The sequence below is a fragment of the Homo sapiens genome, chromosome 6 (genome assembly GCF_000001405.40).
Source record: "Homo sapiens chromosome 6, GRCh38.p14 Primary Assembly".
NCBI classification, from domain to species: Eukaryota; Metazoa; Chordata; class Mammalia; order Primates; family Hominidae; genus Homo; species Homo sapiens.
The window spans coordinates 142,395,113-142,422,885 of NC_000006.12; the positions used below are offsets into that span (position 1 = coordinate 142,395,113).

Below are 27,773 nucleotides of genomic sequence, written 5' to 3' on the forward strand. Positions count from 1 at the left end.
AAAGTTATATTGAAAGATGTCATTTTTGTATACATAGTAAATGGACTGGATTGAGCCATGTGATTAGGGAAACTTGTTTTTATTTTCTGGTATTATAATTTTTTCTTTATGATATGAAAACACAGTAGTATATTTCAGTACTGTATTCTTGAAGGTGACAGAACTCTTCTCCACTATTTAACCAAATAATTTTTTTCAATCCTTTCTGTTAGGTCATATTGCATCTTCAGTAATGGATCCAGCAGCAATCAGGATCCCTTTGCTGGACACTTTGTGTAGCAACTGGGACAGCCCTGGGTTTGGTAGATATAGCCAATGGTATACCTTCTTCAGGCAGTCAGCGTCCGCTTTTTAGTGTACTTACTGTGGTTCTTCTACTACCTGGTGATACTAAAATCAGCCATCGTTAGTACATGTCAGCACCTCAGAAACTCTTCTTGAAGGACATTTAAATTCATGGGATTTCAGTTTCCTGGTCTTCAAAGCAATGAGTAATTTTACAGAAAATTATAGGGAGAATGAACTGAGACAGTGTATATAGCAAAATCCACATATTTAGGGGCTTTTTGGTATGAACTCTTGCCATTATTTAATATTTATGTTTATAGCCTTTCTTGTCTCTTTTTTCTATTCTCTATGGCTCTTACCCTCATTGGTGAGGCTTTATAGTCTCAGTTTTTGTCAAAACCACAGTCTACTACTTTTACATACATTGTTTTTTAAAAAAACTTTTCCTTTCAATTTGATTGTATCACTTAACACAGACCATAGCTTCAGATAATGCTGTCATACTCTATTGCCTAGACAGACAGGAAACCAAAGCCACAGAGAGGTTTTTTTCAAATAAAGAATGGCTGATGGTAACAACAGATAGAATGTAACTTTGTAGAACCATAAAATAGTTTCAGTTTTCAGGATGAGAGAGGAAAACACACAGATAAGACCTGTGAAAATGTATGGCTATTCCTGACTTGTTGGGTTTGGGTATTCAATATCACCCACAATACTTTGGGCTAATTATGTTCTCAGTATTCAAGACAAGTAAAAGGTCACATTCCCAGCTGTAAGTTCTCACCAACTGGAGTGGCGAAGCTTGTCTTTAAACAATGACTTAATCCAGGGATACTTTTTCATGGGCCATTTTAAAAATTGTTAAGCTATCATAGTCACATCTATGTTCACAGCTATCATTATATTCATTATGTTTGCCTCATCCTGAAATATGGCTTGTATGCGAATGGTAAGCAGTAGATCATTTTAGAGAGAGCTTTTCAGAGTTAATTATGAGAAGAGTAGAGCACCTATTCCTTGAAATTAGCACAGATATTTAGGAAAGAAAACTTGAGCTATTCTTTAATTTCACCTAGCCTTGAATAGCAAATATTTCACATATTCCTTCTTATTTTTTAACACCACAAATAAATTACTACTATAATACTTATTAATATTCATAGTTTCATAAATAAAATGTCACTGCCTCTCCACTAGACATTCCATAACTAGTTTAAAAACAATACTACCACTTTGTCTTTGGCGTGAAGACAGTAACTGATCTCAATAATATAACGTCTTATCTTATTCATTTCTCCTCTGAATATGAAGAAGAAACAATTTTTTTGTGAATCCAGAGCTTTCACATATAAGCAAAAGAAATTCTCCTCTACCTGACAAAATAATGTTACTTACTTTTACCTCAGTGTTAAATTAATAGTTTTGATTTCTGCTTTTGACTATAGCTGTGATTGTAGTGGAACAGAAAATTATATTACTTTAAATTGTAGAACCAAAAGTTTTTAACAGGGCTTTGGGGATACATTTCTTTGCTTCCCATAGAGGTATTTCCTTTTTAAAGACCTTCAAAGTCAACCATTCTATAACCTTCTTAAGTAATATGCTGACCAATCACAGAGTCGATTTTAAGTATTTATTTTGTGAAACTTTTTACCATAAAAAGTATTTGCAAATGCCTCATGGAGATAGAAAATCATTTGTTGCTATTCTGAAGAAATTATATCACATTCATGAATAGTAACACTTTTATAGTGTTAGTAAATATAAATAGTTAATTTCTAATAGTTAGAAATGGTAATTTCAAAAGATAAATGGTCAGTTGAAATCATAGTTTTATTAAAAAAAATTAATTTGGGGCCACAAAGAAAAAATGTAGAATTAACCACAGGAATGCTGTTTTCTTGTGTTTATGCTTTAAATGACTATATAATGTATTACTATAAATATTAAATATTAAAATATTTCTGAAAAGAAATGGAGTTATTTGACAGAATTATACAAGCAATAGCCTATAGAATCTATTAATATTGGAATATTTTTAACATTATAATTTACACAGCAGCAGAGAAAGTCTGTGAGCACCTTGGCTAATCTCTTCAGTCTCAACAGGTGATGGTCATCCCTCTACATCCAAATACTCTGTTTCTCCTACCAAATGACAAGCAACCAATGAACAACAACAACAGTTCTATCCGAAATGTTTCCCTAGGTTGGTGCTTTGGGCCCTTCTAGTTTACAATGCTACCAACAATACTAATTTGGAAGGAAAAATCATTCAGCAGAAGCTCCTAAAAAATAATGAGTCCTTGGATGAAGGCTTGAGGCTACATACAGTGAATGTGAGACAACTGGGTAAGTGACTAATTTTTTTATAATATGCATTTTATACAACTGTATATTCAGGTTTACTTGAAACAACAGCAGAAATTTTCTTTATGCGCTATTTGTTTATGTAAGTTTTTTTTCTGATGGTGAAGTTCAGTAACAAATGAATGACATAGCAGAAAAAAAAAATCAGCTCAGTGTCTGTGAATCCAAGGGAATGAAGGAGGTAGATGAAAGTTTATATTTTACTTTAGGAACATATTTTGAAAATACTAACAATATGAACAAAATGCCAGAATAATCTTGATCATCACTGTTGTCAACTTTAGGGAAAAAAAAGAGTGTGTAGATGTGAATGTGGGAACTCTAATGAGATAAATCTTATAGAAGGAGATTTCCTGTTTTAAAACATCTCCTGCTGGGCATGGTGGCTCATGCCTATAATCCCAGCACTTTGGGAGGCCAAGGTGGAGAATAACTTGAGCCCAGGAATTCGAGACTAGCCTGGGCTACACAGGGAGACTGTCTCTACGAAAGATTAAGAAATTAGTTGGGTGTTGTGCTGTGCACCTGTAATCTCAGTTACTAGGCGGGGCTGAGGCAGGAGGATTACCTGAGCTTGGGAGGTCAAGGCTGCAGTGAGCCATGTTCATGCCACTGCACTCCAGCCTGGGCAGCAGAATGAGACCCTGTCTCAAAAAAACAAACAGAAAACGTCTCCTTCTCTCATGTTCCCTGTCTCTATTAGTGATACCACTGTCTTCACAGGACTAGGTCATGAATGTAGGGATTCTGTTGGACCTAAAATCAAGTTTCTCCTGGAGATCGTTCACATCCTAAGCTCTAGCCACACATATGGCACGGCTTGTACTTCCACAAAGAGGCTGTGCTGCTTCCTTTAGATACCCTTTCTATATCTTTGCACACTGTTCTTCTCCACTCCCACCGGCAACCTCATTATCACCTATGTATTTTTAAAGACAGCTCCTAAGTCAGCTCTTCTTTGGAACCTTTTCTGAAATAAAGTATAGACATCACTGCCTTTGAGCCTCTACTTCATGCTGTCCAGATGCCTAGAGCATCATATGCATCAGAAGACCATAGTACTTAGAAGACTAGATATATTTATGTTCACATATATATATATGTATATATTCTGTAAACAATAATCTCTGACTTAAGATCATATTTTCTTTTTTCTTTAACTCTTACTTCCCACATATTTCCAGAACCCAGCACATTCCCTGGAACTGGAACACTTGTTGAATAGACAAATGAATGAGTCTGCATGAGAATATTTTAGGAAATCAAATGTTCACAAATATGGATAACAAAAAGCAATTGTTTTAATGTTATTCTATGATTGCAATTATACTGTGATTAGGTACATTAGTAGAGATCAAAAGAAAAGAAAACTTTGACCCTTCGCCTTCTCTACACTCAGGAGGTTGAATTGAGGGAGGCAAGTGTTCCTCAGCCTTGAAGAGGGCGATTGCGACCAAGGCCATAATCACAGTCTAGTAAAGAGGCAGGCATCTCCACTTCTGTGAGGAGCCACCCATCTCTATTGGGTGGATGTACACCGTTACAAAGAACTCATAGAGATGGATGAATGCAAATAATAATACTAATCATGGTAATAAACCATTTCTGAGTCTCTATGGGAAAATACTTCTTAACAAATGGGGCTTTTTGGAGGGAGGGAGAATGCAAGCTGCTACCCTTTCACGTATAGGAGTCTTCACAAAGAAGGAGTCTGACAAATGGTAGTTTATCTATGACTGGAGAACCCTAGGAGGACCAGCACTGGCTCTGTCCTCATAGGCTGTGAAAGCCCAGCACCACTCTGTCCATATATTTAGACATTTAATTTATACCATTTAATTTAAATTATCCGTTTTATTGTTTTTCTGCAAATGAATCTGTGGATAAGCGCTTCTACCAATGGAAAAATAAAAGGCTAAAACCTAACAGTTTTAAAGTTCACAGTATACATGGGAAAGTTATTTGAATTTTCAGTTGGTGATGACAGTACTTGTTCCCAGAAAACTGATATAACTCACTAATGCTCAGTACTGAAATACAAGAGTTTATTGTTGTTGTTGACGTATTGCTGTTACTTTGATATCCTTTAAAATGTAGAATCTGAATCATTGATGTCATGAGGCTTACTTAGAGAGTCGTCAAACAAAAAGTCAGATGATGTGAGGATAAAGAAGTCTGAGAGTTTGTTGGTTTGCAGGTGACTTCCTGTGTCCCCCTTAGTTAGCTTCCAGGCAGGAGAGGCTATCAGAGCAGCTGGAACATTTTCTATAAAATAGCCACACAACTCAAAGAAGACACTATTGAGGCATCATTTCTAGGCTTTCCCCTTTGAAAAAAATCAAATTACATTTTGAATTTTTCAGGATTGTTTTCCTTCTCTGTAGGGTTTATTTCTTTGAATAAAACTAGTATCTGCTAATGATTAGAATGATAATGTATGTTTCATGTTTATACTTACATAACTGTGTTTTTTACTTAAGGTTTTGTCCAATGTAATGATTTTTGGATTTGAAGTGTATTAAATGTTAATGTTTTTTCTAACTTCTAATTTTTTTTTTTACAAATTCTGAAGATAAACACTAATATTTTGGTATTACATTAAAGAAATACCTAATTACCAGCATTGTCATTTTGCTTTCATCCTGCATCTCTAATCTCTAACTTTAAAAAATAGGTGAATATTTCTCATGCTGGTTCTTATGTTCATATAGGTCATTGTCTTGCCATGGAGGAACCCAAAGGCTACTACTGGCCATCTATCCAACCTTCTGAATACGTTCTTCCTTGTCCAGACAAGCCTGGCTTTTCTGCTTCTCGGATATGGTAATATTTTCACTGACTCTTGCCAGCAAAGCTACATGTTATCAGCCTTCCCAGGGTTATACGTGCAGCACGGTAGTTCTTAGGCATTATATTGATTGCAAAGAAGGGCAGGAATCTCTGTGTATGCCTGTATCATTCACTCCTGGGGAATAAAGATAACATAAGTGGATGACTCAGAAAGGCAGTGTTTTCCTCCCAGCCACATGCTAATCAAGCCCTTTCACAGAAAAACTGAAGAGTTTAGAAGCCAGTGGGTAGCACCAGAGCAAAGTACCTTGTATGTGGATGAACCTAGCCTACCCTTGGAACATGCGTCTGGAATTCCGAAACTTTTTAACTATTTTGACTGATTATTGCTGGAATGGGGAGAGGAGGCAAAGAGGAAATGAAGACAAGATCCAGATTGGGATAGTCTGCTGATGGAAACTGTCAGGGTGTAGATTTTCTCTAAATGTTTAACAGAAACCTCAGAGACTAGATAATTGCAGGGATTCATGGAATAGCAAGTCAAATCCATTTCTCTACCCACCTCACTCCCAATTAGAGTTTTCCTGGGGGAAATTCAGAAATGGAAACTGCCTAAGCATAAATACTTTGCATACTATAAATATTGCTGGGTTTGACACTTTGTAGGGAGCAAAGAAGGGGACTGTAGAGATGTATGGACTTGAGTTTGAAATGTGGCTCCATCTCTTCCTGGCTGTGAGAACTTGGAAAATTCGTTGATTTACCAAATTCCATTTAATCTTCTATAAGATGTGAATTATAATCTGCTTTGCAGAGTTATGTGAACTCAAAATCAGATTTTACCTGTAAAGTTCTTAAAGCAGTACTTGGCCAATGTATCCTAGGTTAGGATACTGCTGGTATTTTGTTTCCAAGATGCATGCTACTGATTTTTTTCCCATAAGAATTTTTAGCATGAAATTTATTTCAGTGCATTACAGTTTTATTTTCAAAGGAAACTTAACCTAGAAATCAAGGCAAATCCCAAAAGTTATTAACTAATCTTTTCAGTTCTAATATCATTTATAGGAAAACAGGAAAAGAAAACTTGTAGAAGGAAATAGTGCAAATGGAGAAACAAACTGGGGTGAGAGAGGAGAGAATAAGGAAGGGTGAGAAGAATGAGGTGGAGAAATGGAGAGAATTTGGGAACATTGTATAGATAGGGTGATAAACAGAAATAGGCTAGAGAGATAGAACGTAGACATATAAACAGGTACAGAGATAAACAGAGAATTAAAATGGAAAGAGTGAGAAGCTCAGTATCTTAAAGGGAAGCTTGTCCATTGATCATATTGTAATAAATGTATATATCATGTAAAAATCCCTTTAAGCAGTACAAAATAATACCAGTTATATCAAATATTTAAAATATCTATTTTGTTTCATAGTTTTTACAATGCTACCAACCCATTGGTAACCTACTGGGGACCTGTTGATATCTCCAACTGTTTAAGTAAGTGAGCAGTTTTCCTTTATTTCTCAAGGACAAAATGACATGACTTCATGCTTCATGATTTTCATTGTCTTCGAGAATATTCTTCTGCTCTGTGATACTGTTTTCATATTAAAAGGCAAATGATTGTTTCACTTAAGACAGAAAATACTTTTTACTCTCATTTTAACTTTCTGTTCTGTAGGGGATTAAAAATAGTAAGGAAAATCTAGAGAAGACAAAACTAATATATAAATTGATATTTGTATCAATGTTTTGTAGTTTGCATTAATTTTAAATAGCAAATATACACTAATTCAGGGATTCTGGGAATGTTTCTCTTAGAACTTTGTGTGTTCATTCATCCCTCCAAGTTATTTGTATCTTACTAAAGAGAGAAGTTAGTCTCTGCATAGAAAGAAATATTATTGCCTTGTGAATATGGGGATGAGGTATACACAGGAAAATCTCACTTTCTTGCTTCAACTGTAAAGTGAAATATTACACTCTACTTTGGATTCCTGGAAATGCTCTAAATATTCAGGTAAAACTTAGTGTTGTTTTCTTCTGCCTTTGTTTTAGAAGAAGCAAATGAAGTTGCTAACCAGATTTTAAATTTAACTGCTGATGGGCAGAACTTAACCTCAGCCAATATTACCAACATTGTGGAACAGGTCAAAAGAATTGTGAATAAAGAAGAAAACATTGATATAACACTTGGCTCAACTCTAATGAATATATTTTCTAATATCTTAAGCAGTTCAGACAGTGACTTGCTTGAGTCATCTTCTGAGTAAGTATTTTTTTTTTCCTGGAGAGTAAATTTTATTGGATAATGATGTTACATGATTTCTCACCTATCTGAATACTTTGTGCCCAGATTTCAGAATTCAAATCTCTGCAAGATGTATTGATAGTCGTTAATAGTGAAGCAAGGTCATTCACAACATGAACTTAAAAGTTCTGTGTGTTTTTTTTTTTGAGAAATACAATTTACAATATACATAGCCCTAGAAAGCATAAGCAGTCTTTCATTTTTTATTTGAAAATTCTAAATTTAGTTTAAAAATTATAAAATTCTAAATTTAGTCGACCAGTAGAGTTATGCATAACTGATCATTATAAGTCCACTATACTGTGAACTATGCCACTGACAGCCACAGCCACATGATTGTTGGACTTCTGAAATGAACATGCTGGGGCAGATGAAAATGTACCTGTATTTATATGATTCAATTTGTATTTAATTGCTTCATTTAATGTATTAATATTAAAATATTTAATGTTTTTCTATTTCCTTCTCTTCTACATTTCTCTGAAGAAAATTTTATATTTGTTAAAAATGTATTTTCTAACAATCTACATAATAACAATATAAACATTTTTATGGCATCTTGCAGTTCACAGAACACTTTTATCGCATTATTTCCTTTGATTCTTGATAAGCCGTAAGGTAGGGAGGATGCTTTTTCATGTTGGAAAAGAGAGGCTAAAATAAATGAAAAACAGTATTTGTTCAGGATGATTTAATTGTTAATTTTCTTTAAAGCAGATATTTCTCTTGAGGATTTATCCATCCCTGTGATTCCATATTTTAACAGATATCACTGTGGATTGGGGTAATTTTATGGGTGTTCATGTTAAGATCAGAAAATCTAAACACAATTTTATTTTGTTTGTATTTTGCCATGCAGCAAAACATGTATGTTTAAGAATCTAAAATATCATATTACTTAATAGTGGCATTTTTTGTCGTTACTTTAGAGCTTTAAAAACAATTGATGAATTGGCCTTCAAGATAGACCTAAATAGCACATCACATGTGAATATTACAACTCGGAACTTGGCTCTCAGCGTATCATCCCTGTTACCAGGGACAAATGCAATTTCAAATTTTAGCATTGGTCTTCCAAGCAATAATGAATCGTATTTCCAGGTAATGAGCCAGTGGTTTCTTTCATTTTAATTAATTAGTTAGACATATAAAAACTTGCTGATCACTTAGCAGTTGCTGCTTCCAAGAGGTCTTGGTCCATGAAGTGGCAAGGTCTGAATGTTGGCTAAGTTTAACTAGAGCAGTAGCCATAAAGTATTGTGGGAGCTCAGAGTGGGTATGCTTTCATAATCTGGGTGACAGGGGTGGTCAGCTTACCTTCTACAAGAGGGGTTACTGGAGCTAAGCATGAGTAGGGGCCACCATACTTGGGGTGAGCATCAGTTCAGTTAGAGGAAAGAGCTTTAAGGGCCCCAAGGTGAAAAGAAGCATGGTGCATTCTCTTTGCCAGTGGTTCTCAAACTGAACATTAGAATCTTCTGGAGGAGGCTGGGCGCGGTCTCTCAAGCCTGTAATCCCAGCACTTTGGGAGGCCGAGGTGGGTGGATCACTTGAGGTCAGGAGTTTGAGACCAGGCTGGCCAACATGGTAAACCCTGTTTCTACTAAAAATACAAAAAAAAGTTAGCCAGGCATGGTGGTGCAGGCCTGTAATCCCAGCTATTCAGGAGGCTGAGGCACGAGAATCACTTGAACCTGGGAGGCTGAGGTTGCAGTGAGCCGGAATCATGCCACTTCCCTCCAGCCTGGGCGACAGAGCAAGACTCTGTCTCAATAGAAAAAAGAAAAAAATAATCTTCTGGAGGACTAGAGGACTTGTTAAAACAGATTTCTGGGACCTACTCCAGGAGTTTCTGATTTAGTAGGTCCTGGGTAGGCCCACCAAATTTGCACTTTTAGCAAGTTCCTTAGACATTGCTGGTCTAAGGATCATACTTTGAGAACCCGTGATGTAGAAGTCTGGGATAGCAGGTGACAGTACGGCTGGACACATAAGCTGGGGCTGGATTAATGGAGAACCTTTTCAACATGTTCAAGCGACACATAAGCAAAGAGTTTTCAAGTTCCTACTACATGCCAGGCACTATTAGCCACCAGAGCAAACAAAATGAATGAAGCATTGTCCTTGACCTGGGAGAGTATAGTATGTGAAGCACAATATATCTTTTAACTGTGGAGATAGAACAAACTGAAAATATAAAAAGCCTGAAATCAGGATACAGGCAAGACCTTTTTTCTCCATTAGACTAGGGGCTCTTTTGGGTAATTCTTTTTCACATTTTAAGAGTAAAACTCAGTCAACCTCCGTCTCATTCCAAGACAATTTGCAGGAAAGCATTCTTTGTCCTTGAGCTATGGTTTCAGGAAAAATGCTATCTGAGAGTGTTCATAAAATTTTAATGCAGTCTGAAATCAACAAGTTAACTTCAGTCTCTTTCTCTTTCTCTCTCCCTTGCCCCTTTCTCCCATAGTTATTATCTTTCACTACGTGTTTTGAGAAAACCTCAAAATCTGCTGCTGGTAAATCTAATTCTTATACTTGAAAATGTTGACTGATTTATAGATTTCTTCCTATGTCTTAATTAAAATCAATGCATTTTCTCCTTTGGCACACATGTAAAACCCAAATGAGATCTACAGCTCTGTCTGTAGGGGTTTATCCAGGAGTTGCAGTGACTACTGTAGATACAAAGGGAAGTCCTGGTACTGGCTAATTTGAACTTGCAATTGTTCACTCGCCTAACTATACATGTGGAATAAAGTTATTACCATTCAATTATGATTACTTGACCAATATATCTGTGTGTGTGTGACAGATGGATTTTGAGAGTGGACAAGTGGATCCACTGGCATCTGTAATTTTGCCTCCAAACTTACTTGAGAATTTAAGTCCAGAAGATTCTGTATTAGTTAGAAGAGCACAGTTTACTTTCTTCAACAAAACTGGACTTTTCCAGGTAAGCACATTCATTAAATTATTGTTTTTCAACTGCAAATGAAGTTTCTTTGAGCAAAGAAAACAAAACTTTAGATTCTGTTGAAATATATCAGAAGGTTTAGAAAAATTTACTGTGTTTTCAAAACTGAAAATTTTTAATATAATTGTTTAAATATTTTATTTCAGATAATATGCTAATTAACAAGTTGTATGTACTTCAATTTTTAAAATAATTCAAGTATTAGGCTAAGGCTTGCATTAAACAATTAGAAATTGAATTAGTGAAGAAATGACCGTTTATTATTACTTTTATTAAATATTTTATGCTCTCCAATCATTTAGGCCTTTACAGTTAAAGAAATTGCACACCAAAGGAAAGGGTTTTTTTTTTTTCTTTAATTTAGCAGTAAGTACTGTTTACATAATGAGCAGCATTCTTGGCTTTAATCAGTTTTCCCATTAGTATTTCAAGTGACCTTTGGTCTTTACACATCCGCAGAGTAAGATGGAATTGTGCTAAGCACATATTATCATTTTTATTGGCATCATTTCTAGATTCTAGAAGGCCCACTGCCAGCAAACACTGGTGACCTCTGTTTGCCTTTACAAGTACAACCTGATCGAGAGCAGGTTCGCTGGGCCCTTTTTAAAAAATAAAACTTATCTATTAAATTCAAGATATCATTGCATATTGAACAATGTGACTTATATAAAATAGCAAGTCTCAAGGTCAGAGAATTGTTTCTAATAGATCTGCCTTTATATGTCATGTGTAGAGGAGCAGCCAAGTAGAGATATAGTCAAGGAAAAATAATACCATGGAATCCTTGACAGTAGTTAATTCCAAAATTTAAAAATTTTATCAACAAATGTTTTAGGAACCAGCTCTATACAAATTTGGTGATTTATATGAATGCAATTTATATATTTTGTATAAAACGTGTAATTTATCCTGAAAGATTTAATAGCTATAAACATGTACAACTGCAGTTTTAAAAATTATGGTAACTTGAAGTGTATGACAATGTTACCTTAAAACCAATATAAAAATGCAGCAAAACATGTATGTATGTAGGTGCCACAAAATGTGAATGGTACAGAAATGGAGTCCAGTGCAGGGAGAAGGTTTAGCCCTGCACTCTTAGATTTGCAAGCATCTGTCATTGTTTTGAGTCTTCTCCATATCATTGTTTCCTTCTCCTTTGGTATTTCTCTACCAAAGTTGTTATTAGGAAGCATATCTGGCCAGGCGCAGTGCCTCGTGCCTGTAATCCTAGCACTTTGGGAGGCTGAGGAGGGAGGATTGCTTGAGACCAAGAGTTCAAGGCCAATCAAGCCAACATAGTGAGACCCGTCTCTTTAAAAAAAAAAAAAAAAAAAAGGAAGCATATGTTCAGTTTCTAAAGTTAATTTACAGGAGAATGAAAAAACTTTAAAGGTTCTGTGGTGCTCCCCTATCATAGAGGGCAAGGTACGATGGTGATGGTGTTTTTTTTTGTGTTTTACTGAAAGGCTGGGTATCACCAGCTAATAGCTGAGTTTAATAATGACCACCACACAAAATTAACAAAAAGCTATATTCTGGATGCTGAATTTTATTTGGAATTTATCCTGTGATTATTCCAAAACAACTGATTTGTAAGCTATGATATAAAGAGAAATTCAGGAGATTTGACAAGAAATACAAGGGAAAGAAAAAAATAGAGATGAACTTGCAGAATAGAATGCTTATTGGTCCAAACCATTTTATGGGACAGATTTGATTTCCTGACAGCCTTATTGCTTAAGTGAAATCTGCAGATGCTGGCAAGTATACAGTCAGAGAAGAAGGTAGAAGTCCTGGATGGGACTTGAATCCAGTATTACTTTTAGGTATAAGTTAGTAAACATGTCAGGCTGTTGGCATGGATGTGAAAGATGTCTTGCTTTTTATTTTTCACACCATATTTTCTTCATACTTCTCTGAAAGAAAACAACATCTATCTTCTAAAGTAGGGAAATGATCTAATTGTTTCACAGCTTTTTATGAGTTTATATTATTTATGAGTCTGCATTGTTTCAGTTGTTAACTGGCTGACATCAGTCACCACAATCAAGAATGTAGTTTTATGAACTCAGTCTTACAATATTGGCTCCCAACATTCCCTCAATGTATTTATTATAATAAGGGAAATAGCAAACCTCCTTCAGGAAAGCCAGCAACTTGATGTGATAAACAGGATGTTCTAGAACTGAAGATCTTAAGTGTAAAAATTGCTGACAGTTTGCTTATTTTGGAGCACCAAAGTAAAATAAAAGTGTACTTCTGACTGATACACGCGATTTTTTTTTCTTTAAAAGGATGTAGGACCCCAAAGAAAAACTTTAGTGAGTTATGTGATGGCGTGCAGTATTGGAAACATTACTATCCAGAATCTGAAGGATCCTGTTCAAATAAAAATCAAACATACAAGAACTCAGGTAAGAAAACGCTCCCAATAGCATTTGGACAGAAGTGGACTATTTAATATACTAGTGGGGCCTTTTTTTCTACATGTTAAAAAGTAACTGACCCTTTTTTTGTGGAGTAGGGCCCAGTTTTCTATAAAGAGAGAACAACTGATCAGGTAGTGCTTTAAAGTCACAGTAAATTGAAGCAGCTGGAGAGGTTAGTCTTATCTAGGACTCAATAATCAGAAAGAGAAGGGAAGTGAAGAGAAGGGCTTCTATTTTTCAGATATAACATATATTGCTTCAGATAAATTAGATGCAGATGTAGTTGCACAATTCTGCCAATAGAGGTTTTGGTTGTTTCTTTGTATTTCTGTGTATATTTGCAAAGATAACTGCAACTGGGAAAGCCAACAAAGAAACAGGGGAGGGTGGACTTATTTTTTGAGAGGTTAGCAGTGGTTAGTCTTTGCAAATGTTGCTTTTCTTGTTGCTTCATTACCCTTGTCATCTGTTTGTTTGATAAAATTAGATGGAAGTTCTCATTGTCCCAGATGGCCCAAGAACAGGTTTTTCTCACTTTTCCAAAGGGCCCTCATCATGATTCTGCCATTTATTAGATAGGCAGGAAGACAGGCTGGAAATGAGTGTGCTGAGGATTGAAAGCCAAGTCACCTAAGATCTAGCCTCCTTTGCCACGAACCGTCTTAGACTTCCGTGTTCAACACTTTGGCTTCCTTTGTTTCAGCCCCTTCATTCATAAAGGACGATTTTTAAAAATTGTAGAACATACATAATATAAATGTATCATCTTAATCATTTTTAAGTGTACAGTTCAATAGCATTAAGTGTGTTCACATTGTTATGCAGCCATCACCACTATCCATCTCCCCAGTTGAAACTCTCCTCCCATTAAATACCCATTCCCTGTTCTCTCCTTTCAATAGCACCTGGCAACCACCATCCTACTTTCTGTCTCTTAATTTCACTACTCTAAGTACCTCATATAAGTGGAAACATACAGTGTTTGTCCTTTGTGACTGGCTTATTTCATAGCACAGTGTCTTCAAGGTTTATCCATGTTGTAGCATCTGTCAGAACTGACTTCCTTTTTAAGGCTGAAGAGTATTTCATTGTATGTATATACTAGATTTTGTTTGTCTATTCCTCATTGATAGACGCTTGGGTTGCTTCTACTTTTTGGCTCTTGTGAATAATGCTACTGTGAGCATGAGTCTACAGATATCTTGTCGAGTCCTTGTTTTCAATTTGTCTATGTAAATACCCAGACATAAAGGAGAATTTTGAAGATGATGTGAAATTGTAGTGTCAAGAGCTTTTCTAAATGCTAAGAATGAGAGTAGAATCAATATACTTAATGATGGGACATTTGTAGTAACCTACAGATAAATGAGTAGGTAGTATGATTCCTTATGAGGTTAGAGTTGATTTTCGCTTGAAGTCTCTATGGGAGAGAAGAAGATCCCCCTAAATTGCCTACATTTTCAGGTTGAATTGGCATGTTAATACTAATCTATTTCTTTGTGAAACCCTTCGTGTTTTTATTCTTTTGCCATATTTAAATCATGGCATTTTAAACACAATTTCACATGTTTATTCTTATGTTAATATAGGAAGTGCATCATCCCATCTGTGCCTTCTGGGATCTGAACAAAAACAGTAAGTTTTAAAATATTGGTTGTCTTAATATAGATAACAACTGAATTTTAAACATTGTTAGACACCCCCATTTCCTTTAATTCCACCCCAAACCAGAGTGAGTCACAATGTAAGTGTAAATGGCAAATGAGCTGCAAAGTTAGTTTAGGTAGCTTGGGAAGTCAGTTCTAATTTCTGTAACTTTTTAGTCATTGCAAGAAGAAATAGGCAGACTTCACTGTGTTTTCTTTCATTTTTCAGTTGAACAACCTCTTTGACATCAGTTATTTATAAAATACAGCATACAATTTTATTGCTACTTTTGATGAAAGTAGACTTGCACTTAATCTCATTCTTCTAAGACACAGTTGAGGGGATTATTTGATATGTGTAAGGCAGACAATTTAAAATCCAGCTTCCAGACCTCCAGTTATGAGGGAGGTGAGAAGCTGACTGAAGGAATGTAAATATAGAAATTGATATAATGGACATATATTACTTGAAAGAGATGAAGAGCCTGCAGAATTAGATTTGACAATCAAGAAAGGAAGGCAAAATTAAGGGATGAATCAATCAGTAGGCATAAGGTGTAAATCTCTTTGAAAGGAAGTACAAATAAAGAAGCTTCTTCTGTTTGTCCCCTTGTGAGGATTATTGTGGCCAGATTCATTCTGATATAAAGGCAGGGTACTTTGCTGATGAAAACAGCCTGAAAAGGGCAAAAACTTCTTTTTTTGATAGTTCTTGTCACAGCAAGACAGGAGTTTTTTGGTGGAGGGGTTTAGTTGCATAATTTTGAGAAGATCTTTACTCATTTACCTAGTTAAAAGTATCACTTTATTATCTTAAAATATTATTTAAATAAATGGATTCAATACATTGACAATATGCATTGCTCATATTCCATTTTATACCATGAAAGTCAAATAAGGTGGTTTCAAGCCATTTACAATCAGTTACTACCATTCATGATTTTTGTATACATAAATGGCACATTCTAAGAAAGCAAACCTTCTTTGTTCTTATGTCTTCATGAAAATGTAGATTAACCCTCAGAAAAAATTGTTGGTTCATTAGTGTGTAGTGTATTTGAAAATGAGTCTTCTTTTTGTGGAAGTTCATTTTAAAATATGTTAAAAATTAAACTTGAATCAAACATTTGTGGAACTCTCAAGTTTGAACCTACTGATTAGATCACCTCTAACTGCCCACCCAGAGCTAACATTTGATTATTCTAGGAATCCAAATTATTCTAAGCATTGAAAACTTTCATAATGGTATCCATTTTACAGATAAACTCTGTATGGCAGAAGAGACTGAGGCAAATTTCTCTATAGAAGGTCTCATCCATTATAGAGAAGAAACTGACCTGCTGTTTTCACACTGTTTGTTGATTCCTTCAACAGAAAGTTTTGGAGGATGGAACACGTCAGGATGTGTTGCACACAGAGATTCAGATGCAAGTGAGACAGTCTGCCTGTGTAACCACTTCACACACTTTGGAGTTCTGATGGTAAGGGGGGAATTTCTAAGCTCATTTTGACATGCTGTAACTTTGGATGGCATACTCCTTTTTTGTATGTATTTTTAGATTATGTATTTTGGGAATTATTTCCTGATAGTTTTCATCTGTACCGTGAATCTTAATTCTTAATAAAGAATCTAATTAGCAAAGATCACATATTAAAAATATGTGAAAGTAATTATAGAAAAGAACTTTCTCCCTTTTTTTCCTGTAGCATTAACAGTGATGATAAATAATCCCAGAAACAAGAAAATCCTCATGAAACTTTTTAATTAAGAGAGAAACAGAGTCAAAGAGATGGACGGGGAGACAAGTGGGAGGAGGGAGAGAAAGTTAAAGAAGAAAATGTTGGGTGTTACTAACATGGAAGGGAATTGTGAATAGTGTAATCAAAAAAATTTTTCTTATGTTGTCACTCATTCAATATATTTGAACGTTGCTTTGTACCTGGTACTGCACCGAGTGATCTCCCTCCTAGAGATTGCAGTTTGTTAGGACAGACTAGTGACTAGGGTTAGAATGGAGACTTCAGAGCTGCAAGAGAGATAATGGTTATGATGTTTCTGTCACTCTTAGGCCTCTATATCATTCTTTCCTTCCTTCTTCCATGCCCCTGTTTTATCTTATTAGCCAGCTTGCCAAACAGTTTTAAACAAAATTAGATTGCGTCAATGTGTTTTTCTTATCCCACCAAATTTTAAGACGCACCACGCATCCAGCGACTTCTTTGAACTCATCCATAGATTTATACCTTTCCCTTTTATCCAGTTTACCTGTGATTTTGCAAACACTTTTCTGGTCTCCAGGGTATGCTCTGGGTTGTAGCATAGCCTTTGTTTCTGTTTGGTTTTCATAAAGGGACCAAACCACATTTGTTTTTTAATAGGAGATAGGAGTGATGTGAGCTGAGGCAATAAAGCTTTTCAAATTAGAATCACAGACGTCAGGTTTTGTTTATTCCCGCCTTTAAATCTTGCACCCTTCTTCCTGTGGGGACTGGGAGGAAGCCTTGAGGATCTGTGGGATGTAGTATTTGGCTCACAAATCTACTCAGCCTATGTAAATGGCCATTGTCATATGGCAACCCTGCAAGTTGTAATTTTCCTGACAATCAAGTACATAAATGCTCTGCAGAATAAGAGCAAGTCATTTAAAAAGGTGATAAATCATAGAAGACACCTTTTTAACTATCTAAAATACAAATATTTTCCTTTTGCTGTCAAAGCATGAAAATGAACAATTAACTATTGCATGTTTTCCTTAAGTAATTATAAAAGAAAATTCAGTTTCCTTCCATGTTCTCTTTTTTGCAAAAGTGATAGCAGGCATTCTTTCAAAGAACACTTATTTTTTGTGATTACTCATTCAGGTATGTAAGCTTTAGCTTAATTCATTTAAATATTTCAACTATGTGCATGTTGTAAGTCTGGTATTAAATAAATAGATAACAGTAACAAAATTTACTCTTCAGAGATGATTTATATGAAGCCAGAGTTTGCCTGCCCACGACTTCATATGGCCAGTTCCTTCATATATTGTCTAAATTTTATTATGAGTTTGTAATTACGCATTATTTTTTCTGCTGCTATCTGATTGAATGGTTAATTATATATATATATATGTGAAGATAAGCATCATTCATGTTCTCTTTCCATTTTCTACCTTGTCTGTTTTTGTAATATTAAAAATTGCTGGTAGAAAATCTTTTCAGAACATATCCTTTTTGGTGATGTTCTCTTATCTTTTCAGTTTTTCCAGACCACCAAGACTTTGTTAAGAGTTTTTCTTGACTTAGAAACTCTTTATTCACTTGTATAAGATATTCCCAGAGTCTGCATTGTCCCATGACACATTCACCAGTTCACCATATGAGATGCTAAAACAATGCACCTCATACCTATAATTATATCTTCTGGTCTACAAATATTTCAAGAATTTAATGTCTTCTGCTACATTTCTTTGTACTAAAACTGGCTTTCATGAAGATTAGTACATTTTCATATTGGCTATATCATAAAAGTTTTCATATTTTCATTCTCTAAAAGAACAAAACAACATGAAATTGTGTATAAATCTGTAAACAAATCTGTAAGCAGCCTTATTTAATTTCTATTTGAAATTCTGGATTTAATTGTGATTTGCAAGTCATAGGTTTTTCAAGAATTTGTGACACATCACTTGGCAATCTCTCAAAACCATGATTCATCTCTCTGGGCTGATGAATCATTGGTTGAGTTAGCCTATCTGTGAATCAAGTGGCACCAACTCAAACCCCATCCCATGTACCCTGGGTGCCCCGTGTTCTCCCAGTGTTTTAAGGGATTCCTGGGATAAGAAGATAGGGGGAGCCCCCTCAGACTCTGAGCCTCTGCTTCTGCTGAATTCCATCACTTCGTGCATGGCTTGATGTTGCAGAGATACTGTACCTGTTCTTTACTGCATCAGTGAAACCTGAAACTAACCCACATTTCTTTATCACACACACACACACACACACACACACACACACACACAACTTAAGGCCTGTGTGTGAGTAGCAGATTTTATTGGCATTTTGATGACAGTTAAAGGCAATTTACATATAGAAGGAAAAATCATAAACATTTTCTCCATAATTTAAAACCTAAAAGTTTACGCTAGATATTCAATACATCCCTTCTGTAAGAACACTCCATTTTTTAACATCTACATAAAGGAGGTACTTTTCTCCTCCAACCAGGATTGAGTGAGTGGTCTTACCTCAAGATTTATTCCTATCCCAATCCCCCATTTAAGGCAGAAAAGAAAGATTTTTCTACCAAGTCCAGACCTGTAAGTCTCCCTTAGCACATTGAAATTAATACTTTATATTAATACACTGGAAAGTATTTACTTCTTTCCACTCCACAACAGCCCCAAATAATTTAAATTGTATCCTTTCAGTACTATAGGAATAAAAAAGTCTATGACCCCCAAAAGTCTTAATGGCATCTCAGTTATGAAAATAAAGACAGTCCCACCTCATACATACCAAGCATTGAAATAACCAGGGTTAGGAGCCTCCGCACCACCCTTAGAGCCTGGCAGTCACAGCACCAGCACCAGCCTCTGGCTGAGCTCCTTGCTACCTGGCAAGGAACCTAAAGGCTTGAGGGTTTGGCCATATAGACTACTGTGGTCTCCATTTGAACTGGTGCCCCAAGCCCTGCAACTGTTAGGAATGGGCCTGATGGTTTATTATGCAAGGCAACCGTCTCCTCTCCAATTTCTGTTGAGAGTCCTGGTGGTTTTGATCTTCAGGTTATACCGGTTTGCAGAAAGCTTGGGAAAGAAGGTAATGATGAAAAACAATGTGTAACGACTTCCAGAAGTAATGCTGCATTTTTTTCTTTTATTTATTGATCGAAAATAATATAATAAATGGAAATTTTAATATTGATTTACACTGTTGGTTTTAGCCCCTGAGAGTAAGCTGCTCTAATGTTAACAGTGAACTTTCTAGTGAAACAGAGAACCATTCTCATGAGAAGAGAGTTTCTTACAGCTGCTCGCCATGTTTTATGTAGGACCTTCCAAGAAGTGCCTCACAGTTAGATGCAAGAAACACTAAAGTCCTCACTTTCATCAGCTATATTGGGTGTGGAATATCTGCTATTTTTTCAGCAGCAACTCTCCTGACATATGTTGCTTTTGAGTAAGTATATTTTTAATCTGCCAAACCCATTGCTAACTGTTCCAAATGTGAATAAGAAAATTGCCTCGGCTTTGAAAAACATTTATACACTGTAGGGTGGTTGAACGTTAATGTTCATGTTTCTGATAAAATATATTATGTAACATGAATTTTCCAGCTATAGAATTTTAATTTATAATTGCTGTATTTCTATTTATAAAATGCATTCAAATCTGTTAGAAATGATTAACATTTAAGTAAGTAAAAATTATATAAGGTGCTTTCTGTATTGTAAAACATGAAAATGTTTGTTTTATAATCTTATAAAATTAGTCCTGAAACAATTTTTTTAAGATCCTTTTAACTCATTAAAAATCAAAAAGGTTCAAATAATTTAGGGAAATTATTTTTTAAGAAAAATGTCATTCTTACAACTCTAGAATTTTTCCTGGGTTAAAAAAAAATTCAGTTGAAGCCCAACTGGGAATTGTATAAACAATTGGAAATAATTTTGAAGTAAACTAATATTTTTAAAGTCTTTATAACTTGCCAAATACTCATAAATATCCTTAGCCCCTCCTTTTAGCAGAACCACATCAGAAAGGTGGTGCTACTTATCTCATTGCAGGGTTGTATAAGATACGAATTTATACAGGCCTGTGCTTAAAAGATTGATATACAGTATTAGTTCTCTCATAGATTCCTTTTTTCATTTTTTAGGAAATTGCGAAGGGATTATCCCTCCAAAATCTTGATGAACCTGAGCACAGCCCTGCTGTTCCTGAATCTCCTCTTCCTCCTAGATGGCTGGATCACCTCCTTCAATGTGGATGGACTTTGCATTGCTGTTGCAGTCCTGTTGCATTTCTTCCTTCTGGCAACCTTTACCTGGATGGGGCTAGAAGCAATTCACATGTACATTGCTCTAGTTAAAGTATTTAACACTTACATTCGCCGATACATTCTAAAATTCTGCATCATTGGCTGGGGTAAGCCTCTTAAAATTTTTTTGGTTTTGTTTTTCCCTCATGAAAATTGCCAGATTCTCATAGGAAAAAATCTTATTTAAAAAAAAATAGTACCATTAAGAGGAACCTCAAAATTGTGAATGGCATGGATTAGATATACATAGCCTAAGGAAGGGACATCTTCACAACTTTATTTTTTAAAACTCATCAACAGCACTCACTATATACACGAGTAAAGGAAAAGCCCTCACTCCCTGAGTCACCACAAACTTATTTCCTGAGCCCAGAGCCAGCCCACCCAAGTCTGAAGAAGCAGCTGGCAGGCAGTGATGTCTTTTCCATGATGCTTTAAAATACAAAGGCCAGCTCAGACGGCTAGTTACACTCATCCCCAGACACATGCCTATGTCTTGGAAACCAGAGAAAGAATGTTATTCTTGCGTGTGCAACCAGAATACTTATAGGATTATTGCCTTGAACTTTTTGTAATAACATGAGTCCTCAGTCAGACATAGGTGGTTGTATTAACCTGTTTGAGATCTTCTATTGTGCTCCCTTATTTTTGCAGGCTTCATATTGAGCCAGGCATTTTAGAGCTTTCTCACAGATCTGTTTCAGATGGAAATATAAGTGAGAGATATTTTCAAGACCTTCAAAACCACCTCAGGAGGCAATAAGCACACTCTTCAGAGACCTGGGATGCCTGCCATAGCATTTCCCCACTGAAATATACATGGAAATACTTTATTCAATCTCTGGGGAGAGAAGGCTACAAAGACTTTATAGCCCCCTTGCTTTTCCTCCACTTTTTCTAAAGAGTTTTCTTTATATAGAAGGAGGCAAAATAGGCTGTAATGACCTTGTCTGCCTAAACTCTGCCAGTCTAACAAGGCTTAATTAATGAAACCACATTCACTAGTGCTAGATTTGATACAAATCAGGTTTAGTTTTCCAGTGAGTCCCACTAAGCAAACAGAATTTTATTTAAATATCTGTCATTTAAGAGTAGGTTTGGATTGTTGCCAGTTAGAGTTGGACATTGAACCCCAAGGAGGGGATTTTGTTGTTAACCAAGTTGCCATTTCTAAGAAGTTTGAATCTGGGATATGGAATGTTGGCTTGCTTGCATTTCTCTTCTTTTCATTTCTTTTCTTTACATTTCATTAGCAGTCTTATGAAGCAGTTTCAGATGCTTCAAAAGAGTTTGTGTCATGGTGTTTTTGTAACAGGTTTGCCTGCCTTAGTGGTGTCAGTTGTTCTAGCGAGCAGAAACAACAATGAAGTCTATGGAAAAGAAAGTTATGGGAAAGAAAAAGGTGATGAATTGTAAGTAATAAAAACTTTTTGTGATGAGTAGATATCCTTTGTTTCCTGAAGTTTAGCATTAATTTCCATGCCAATAACAAGGCTTTCATTTTAAAAGGTTGATGTTTATTCACATGACTGCCAAAATCTCTGCTACACCACAGATTAATTCAGTTGAATGCCCTGAAATGTTTGAGACACTTTTTCATATTAACATTGTACTCTGTCATATGGAGGAATTGAGAAAATGCCTAAGACAGTTTTTTAGCCTCAGAAGACCCATTCTATTTCAGAAGATTTCATAACACTCTCACCTCCTCAAACCCACCCACGTCTTCAAGAGAGTTAAATAGCAGTATCAGACAGAGAGTGAATGATTCATTGCCAATGGGAGTGTTAGGTAGAAATTTAGAGAATGGAGAAATCAGCATGTTCTTAAACAATTTCAAAAGTTCTCTTCAGATTGTGAGATCATTGAGATTAAGGGTTTTATATTGTTCAGTTTGGGCAGTTACCGATCTCCTATTTTATTAGTCCACCATGGGTACTCAATAAATATATGTTGATTGAAAAAATTACTGAATGAATAAAGAGCCTATTTCTGAAATGGGACCCATCATGCCACATATCTATGCATATCTCATGGATGGATAACATTTACATCGGCTGGGCGCAGTGGCTTACACCTATAATCCCAGCACTTTAGGAGGCCGAGCTGGGTATATCACCTGAGGTCAGAAGTTTGAGATCAGCCTGGCCAACATGGCGAAACCCCATCTCTATTAAAAATACAAAAATTAGCTGGGCATGGTGGTGCATAGCTATAATCCCAGCTACTACTCGGGAGGCTGAGGCAGGAGAATCATTTGAATCTGGGAGGCGGAAGTTGCAGTGAGCCAAGATTGCACCATGAACTCCAGCCTGGGCAACAGAGTGAGACTCCATCTAAAAAAAAAAAAAAAAAAAAAAACCCACTTACATCCAATCACTTATCCAATCTCTGTCCCATTTCTTCACAGTCTTGCCATCTCTTATATTTGTAAAGTGGCACTCAAAAGACCCCACAAGAACTAGGGAAAAATAATGGGGCTAGGTGAGGAATTCCAGAATTTTAGAAGAACTTCTGTGTGTAAAAGAAACGTTAGCTCTAGGGACAAGCAACATTATTCCAGGGACATTTATAACAACATACATTAAAAGTAGAAATTAATAAATAATTTCTAAATAAGAGAATTTTAGAAGTATGTTCATCAACTCATACAGAACTTTAAAGTACCATTTAGTAAACTGCTATACCATTAGGACATTTCATTTATTGATAATTTACTGTATGCCAGAATCATGTTAGTTTCTAGAATTCAAAGATGTGCAGGACAGCTTTTGCCTTTGTGGAGGTTATGTTCCAACATGGAAGATATGGCCCAGAATAATAACCATTTGTGCTAGAATTTCAAGATGAATTTAGTTGCTTTAAATCATTTATTCAATTTTTGAGGTGTCTTAAGAATTCCTATAGCGTCGATTAGGCACTAGGACATCTACAAATTATATTATTTGACAACTTTGCATATAGTACAGTTTTAAAATTTCTTTAATCTACTATCCAATATATATATTATAAGTATCAAGTATCTTCTTCTCCATGTCACTGGGATATTTTGTAATCATTGTAAGCTACGTAATTGTGCATGACAACCATCTGTATATTAATCTCAATTATAAGGTCTTGCCTCATCTACAGCAATGATATTAGTAGTAATTATTTTGCCACAGTAACAAACTCACAACTAGTTGTGACTTAAGTGAGTAGGAGTTTACTCTTTGCACATGACAAGAAACATGGTAGTGGCAATCACTGGCATGGATTTTGTGGCTAAAAATGTCAGGGCCAACAACTCTGCAGCAGGCTTGACCTCTCTGTCATTGGACAGAAGATGCTGGCTGCGGCTCCATAGCTCACTTGCACGTTTGAAGCAGGAAGAAGGAATAAGGACCTTGCCAGTTGAGTCTACCACTAATAGCTCTTCCAAAAATCCTTTGGCAGACTTCTACTTCCATATCACTTTATAAAACGATGTCATACAGCCACTCCTTAAATACAAAGGAGACCAAAAATTAGTTTTTAAATTTCCCATTCTCAGTGTACAGGCACCCAAAAGAAAAGGAGGTTAGACATGGCTTGGAACAAGTCAGCCAAGAGTGTTTTCATATCAACTCAGAAATCAGGAAGCAACCTTGTCTTCTTTGTAATATTGGCTTACCTAGATATTAAGACAATGGCCATCCAAAAACAAATGAACAAAAGACCTATGAAGAGATTGAAGAAGAAACTGAGGTCCAAGGAAGTAAAGTGGCTTTCTAAAGACATTTGAGAGGAAAATCTGCAGTAGCCCAAACTAAGCTGAGAAAAGTCTTAGGTAAACAGGACATGGTAATAAATCTTTTTTTCTTTCTCATTTCTTCTTTTTTAAGCTGTTGGATTCAAGATCCAGTCATATTTTATGTGACCTGTGCTGGGTATTTTGGAGTCATGTTTTTTCTGAACATTGCCATGTTCATTGTGGTAATGGTGCAGATCTGTGGGAGGAATGGCAAGAGAAGCAACCGGACCCTGAGAGAAGAAGTGTTAAGGAACCTGCGCAGTGTGGTTAGCTTGACCTTTCTGTTGGGCATGACATGGGGTTTTGCATTCTTTGCCTGGGGACCCTTAAATATCCCCTTCATGTACCTCTTCTCCATCTTCAATTCATTACAAGGTAAGATAAATTGTACATGAATAGTCTCTGCTTTCTAATTTTGTCATATTTGCAAGCAGCTTCACTTTTGGACAGATGCCATGTTAAGTTTCTGTGTCACTATTTCAAGTGCTGAATATAGTTCCATGTGCAGTGTGGTCACTTGTTAAAAGGGTCTTGAATAGATAAATGAGGTAGAATGTTAGTTTTGCCTTTTTATCAGTGGTATATGCCAAGCACCTAGAACACTGTACCTGGCAGATAGTAGGTACTCCATAAATGCATATTATTTCATGAATGAATATGGAGCAAGGGAAGTATCTAGCTGAGAACCAAACGGGGAGTTTAAAGGGATGCACAGACAAGTTACCTTCTTCACAGTTTTGCTGAATGTTGGTCCTCTTCATACATCCTGTCCCCTGAAGATTTACCGTTGATGGCCAGAAGAATTTTTAGAGTCTATGTAAGAACAGTAGCAGTTCACCTTGATTTTTTGGGTCCTTTGATTTCAGAATAAATACCAACACTCTAGTTCAGGAACTTTTATCTTTTTATGAGAAATGTTGAACATTTCACAGTTAGTTCAACAATTCAACAAACATTTGTCAATGGTCTGCTTTGCATAAAAATACCAGGCTTCCTTCAAAGAGCTTGCAGTCATACCTCTTATTCCATAATACATACCATAGTATACTCTATAATAAATTTAACTTTTAAGCTTAAGGGAATATAAATTGTCTTTTTAGATCATTAAATGGAATTCTTTAAGATTTTGAATATACCCTGTACTGTTGATGAAACTCCTTAGTGTGCAGAAGCACCATGAGGCCAACACTCTAAAAGAAATTAGAATGCTTGGAATGTTTCTGAGTAGAGCAGTGCAAATGGCTTAACTGAAGCTATTGGTCTTGCAGTTGTAGATGTCTGGGGAAGAAATTGCTGAATATATCTGAGCTGGGGTGGAAAGCAGATTTGTATTACTCACCAAATGAGGTGCCAAGGTGGGTACTCCCTGCAAGTGTGTTTTAAGAAAGTCTGTAGTTATCTGCAGGGGAGAGTTGGTTACTGCTTATCTCCCATGCTCTTCCACTAGCTTGTGAAGTGCAAAATAATTGTCACATGGTAGGTGCTTAATGATTGGTAAATTAATGGATTGCTAGATGGAGAAAGAGGCTTTGGGGATGGCCTATTCCAATCTGAGATGCCTCTGGCATAAATATGTATTAACTAGTTCAGCAAATTTTATTCAGGTTCATTGTCTTATAACAAAGGAAGTATGTAGGCTCATTATCTTTAGTCCATAGAATAAGCCTCAAGTGCAACTCCAAAAATTGGAAAATGAGTATGTAGCATATAAATACATCTTTATTGGGATCTAGCTTTATAAAGTGAGTATTCCTCTATTTAATCTCTTCTATAATATACAACATAAAAGTGCTTAAATAAATATTGACAAAAGTATCCATTAACATTAGAAATTCCATGGTTTCATATTTCAGGATTGTATATAAAAGGCACATTGATCTGCCAGCCCAGCCTTGGTTTTGCTTTTAGAATTTCCTGGCAGTTTCAGTAACCTTCAACAGCTACAGTTGTCTGTTCAGCTCTGTTTCCATTAATGAGAATTGGGATGTTTTATTTTTCCCAGCATGGGTCCCCTGTCAGGAGGGAAAAATGTTGTAAACCATCATCAACTCAGTGTTCTTCATAAATCACTGACTTTTAAGACTAATTTTAAATCATATAAATTCAGAACAGATTTCAGCACATTTAATTATATTAAAACACCTCCCAGAAAGAAAATTTAAATTAAAAGGCAGTGATACAGAGCACATGAGTCTACCAACAATTGCTTGCTGCCCAGGCTTGTGCCAAAACTTCTTAGGATGCTATGGAAATTTACTTAATGGTTTTTATTGTTGAGTCATTTTCAGAACCTTCCAAGAGAGGCTTTGTTGTTAGCAGTATATGCTTTGTTAAAAGAAGCATGTAGAATTTAGACAGCTTAAAGAAATGATTCAGTGAATGCAAAATGAACTCAGGTAGTAAGGAGGCAAACTACATTATATCTAATTTTTTCTCTTTTTTTTTTTATTATACTTTAAGTTTTAGGGTACATGTGCACATTGTGCAGGTTAGTTACATATGTATACATATGCCATGCTGGTGTGCTGCACCCACAAACTCGTCATCTAGCATTAGGTATATCTCCCAATGCTATCCCTCCCTGCTCCCCCCACCCCACCACAGTCCCCAGAGTGTGATATTCCCCTTCCTGTGTCCATGTGATCTCATTGTTCAATTCCCACCTATGAGTGACAATATGTGGTGTTTGGTTTTTTGCTCTTGCGATAGTTTACTGAGAATGATGATTTCCAATTTCATCCATGTCCCTACAAAGGACACGAACTCATCATTTTTTATGGCTGCATAGTACTCCATGGTGTATATGTGCCACATTTTCTTAATCCAGTCTATCATTGTTGGACATTTGGGTTGGTTCCAAGTCTTTGCTATTGTGAATAATGCCACAATAAACATACGTGTGCATGTGTCTTTATAGCAGCATGATTTATAGTCCTTTGGGTATATACCCAGTAATGGGATGGCTGGGTCAAATGGTATTTCTAGTTCTAGATCCCTGAGGAATCGCCACACTGACTTCCACAGTGGTTGAACTAGTTTACAGTCCCACCAACAGTGTAAAAGTGTTCCTATTTCTCCACATCCTCTCCAGCACCTGTTGTTTCCTGACTTTTTAATGATTGCCATTCTAACTGGTGTGAGATGGTATCTCATTGT

At 36.0% G+C, this 27,773-nt stretch overlaps 1 protein-coding gene across 16 annotated transcripts in view, besides 3 other annotated features; it reads left to right on the forward strand.

Annotated features, from left to right (window-relative positions):
• The window catches only part of ADGRG6 (adhesion G protein-coupled receptor G6), a 144,255-nt gene that overhangs the window by 93,106 nt on the left and 23,376 nt on the right, over positions 1-27,773 (forward strand). For 15 of the 16 annotated variants that reach the window (XM_005267061.4, XM_006715516.3, XM_047419106.1 and 12 more), the window contains 13 exons: positions 2,501-2,643; positions 5,373-5,484; positions 6,882-6,946; positions 7,508-7,718; positions 8,690-8,861; positions 10,576-10,716; positions 13,038-13,157; positions 14,762-14,807; positions 16,193-16,299; positions 19,857-19,984; positions 20,684-20,952; positions 22,161-22,257; positions 24,709-24,992. In XM_005267061.4, the coding sequence (XP_005267118.1) occupies positions 2,501-2,643; positions 5,373-5,484; positions 6,882-6,946; positions 7,508-7,718; positions 8,690-8,861; positions 10,576-10,716; positions 13,038-13,157; positions 14,762-14,807; positions 16,193-16,299; positions 19,857-19,984; positions 20,684-20,952; positions 22,161-22,257; positions 24,709-24,992 (1,895 nt within the window). Of the gene's footprint in view, positions 1-2,500; positions 2,644-5,372; positions 5,485-6,881; positions 6,947-7,507; positions 7,719-8,689; positions 8,862-10,575; positions 10,717-13,037; positions 13,158-14,761; positions 14,808-16,192; positions 16,300-19,856; positions 19,985-20,683; positions 20,953-22,160; positions 22,258-24,708; positions 24,993-25,885; positions 27,066-27,773 lie in introns of those variants that run through there. The other variant, XM_017011085.2, reaches the window with a different exon arrangement.
• Positions 18,380-18,674: an enhancer, noted in NCBI's record as "tiled region #6738; HepG2 Activating DNase unmatched - State 15:Elon, and K562 Activating non-DNase unmatched - State 24:Quies". NCBI's record gives its function as "activates a minimal TATA promoter and a strong SV40 promoter by Sharpr-MPRA in HepG2 and K562 cells {active_cell/tissue: HepG2 | K562}" and the evidence as "EXISTENCE:reporter gene assay evidence [ECO:0000049][PMID:27701403]".
• Positions 18,380-18,694: a biological region, named in NCBI's record as "Sharpr-MPRA regulatory regions 3748 and 6738".
• Positions 18,400-18,694: an enhancer, noted in NCBI's record as "tiled region #3748; HepG2 Activating DNase matched - State 15:Elon, and K562 Activating non-DNase unmatched - State 24:Quies". NCBI's record gives its function as "activates a minimal TATA promoter and a strong SV40 promoter by Sharpr-MPRA in HepG2 and K562 cells {active_cell/tissue: HepG2 | K562}" and the evidence as "EXISTENCE:reporter gene assay evidence [ECO:0000049][PMID:27701403]".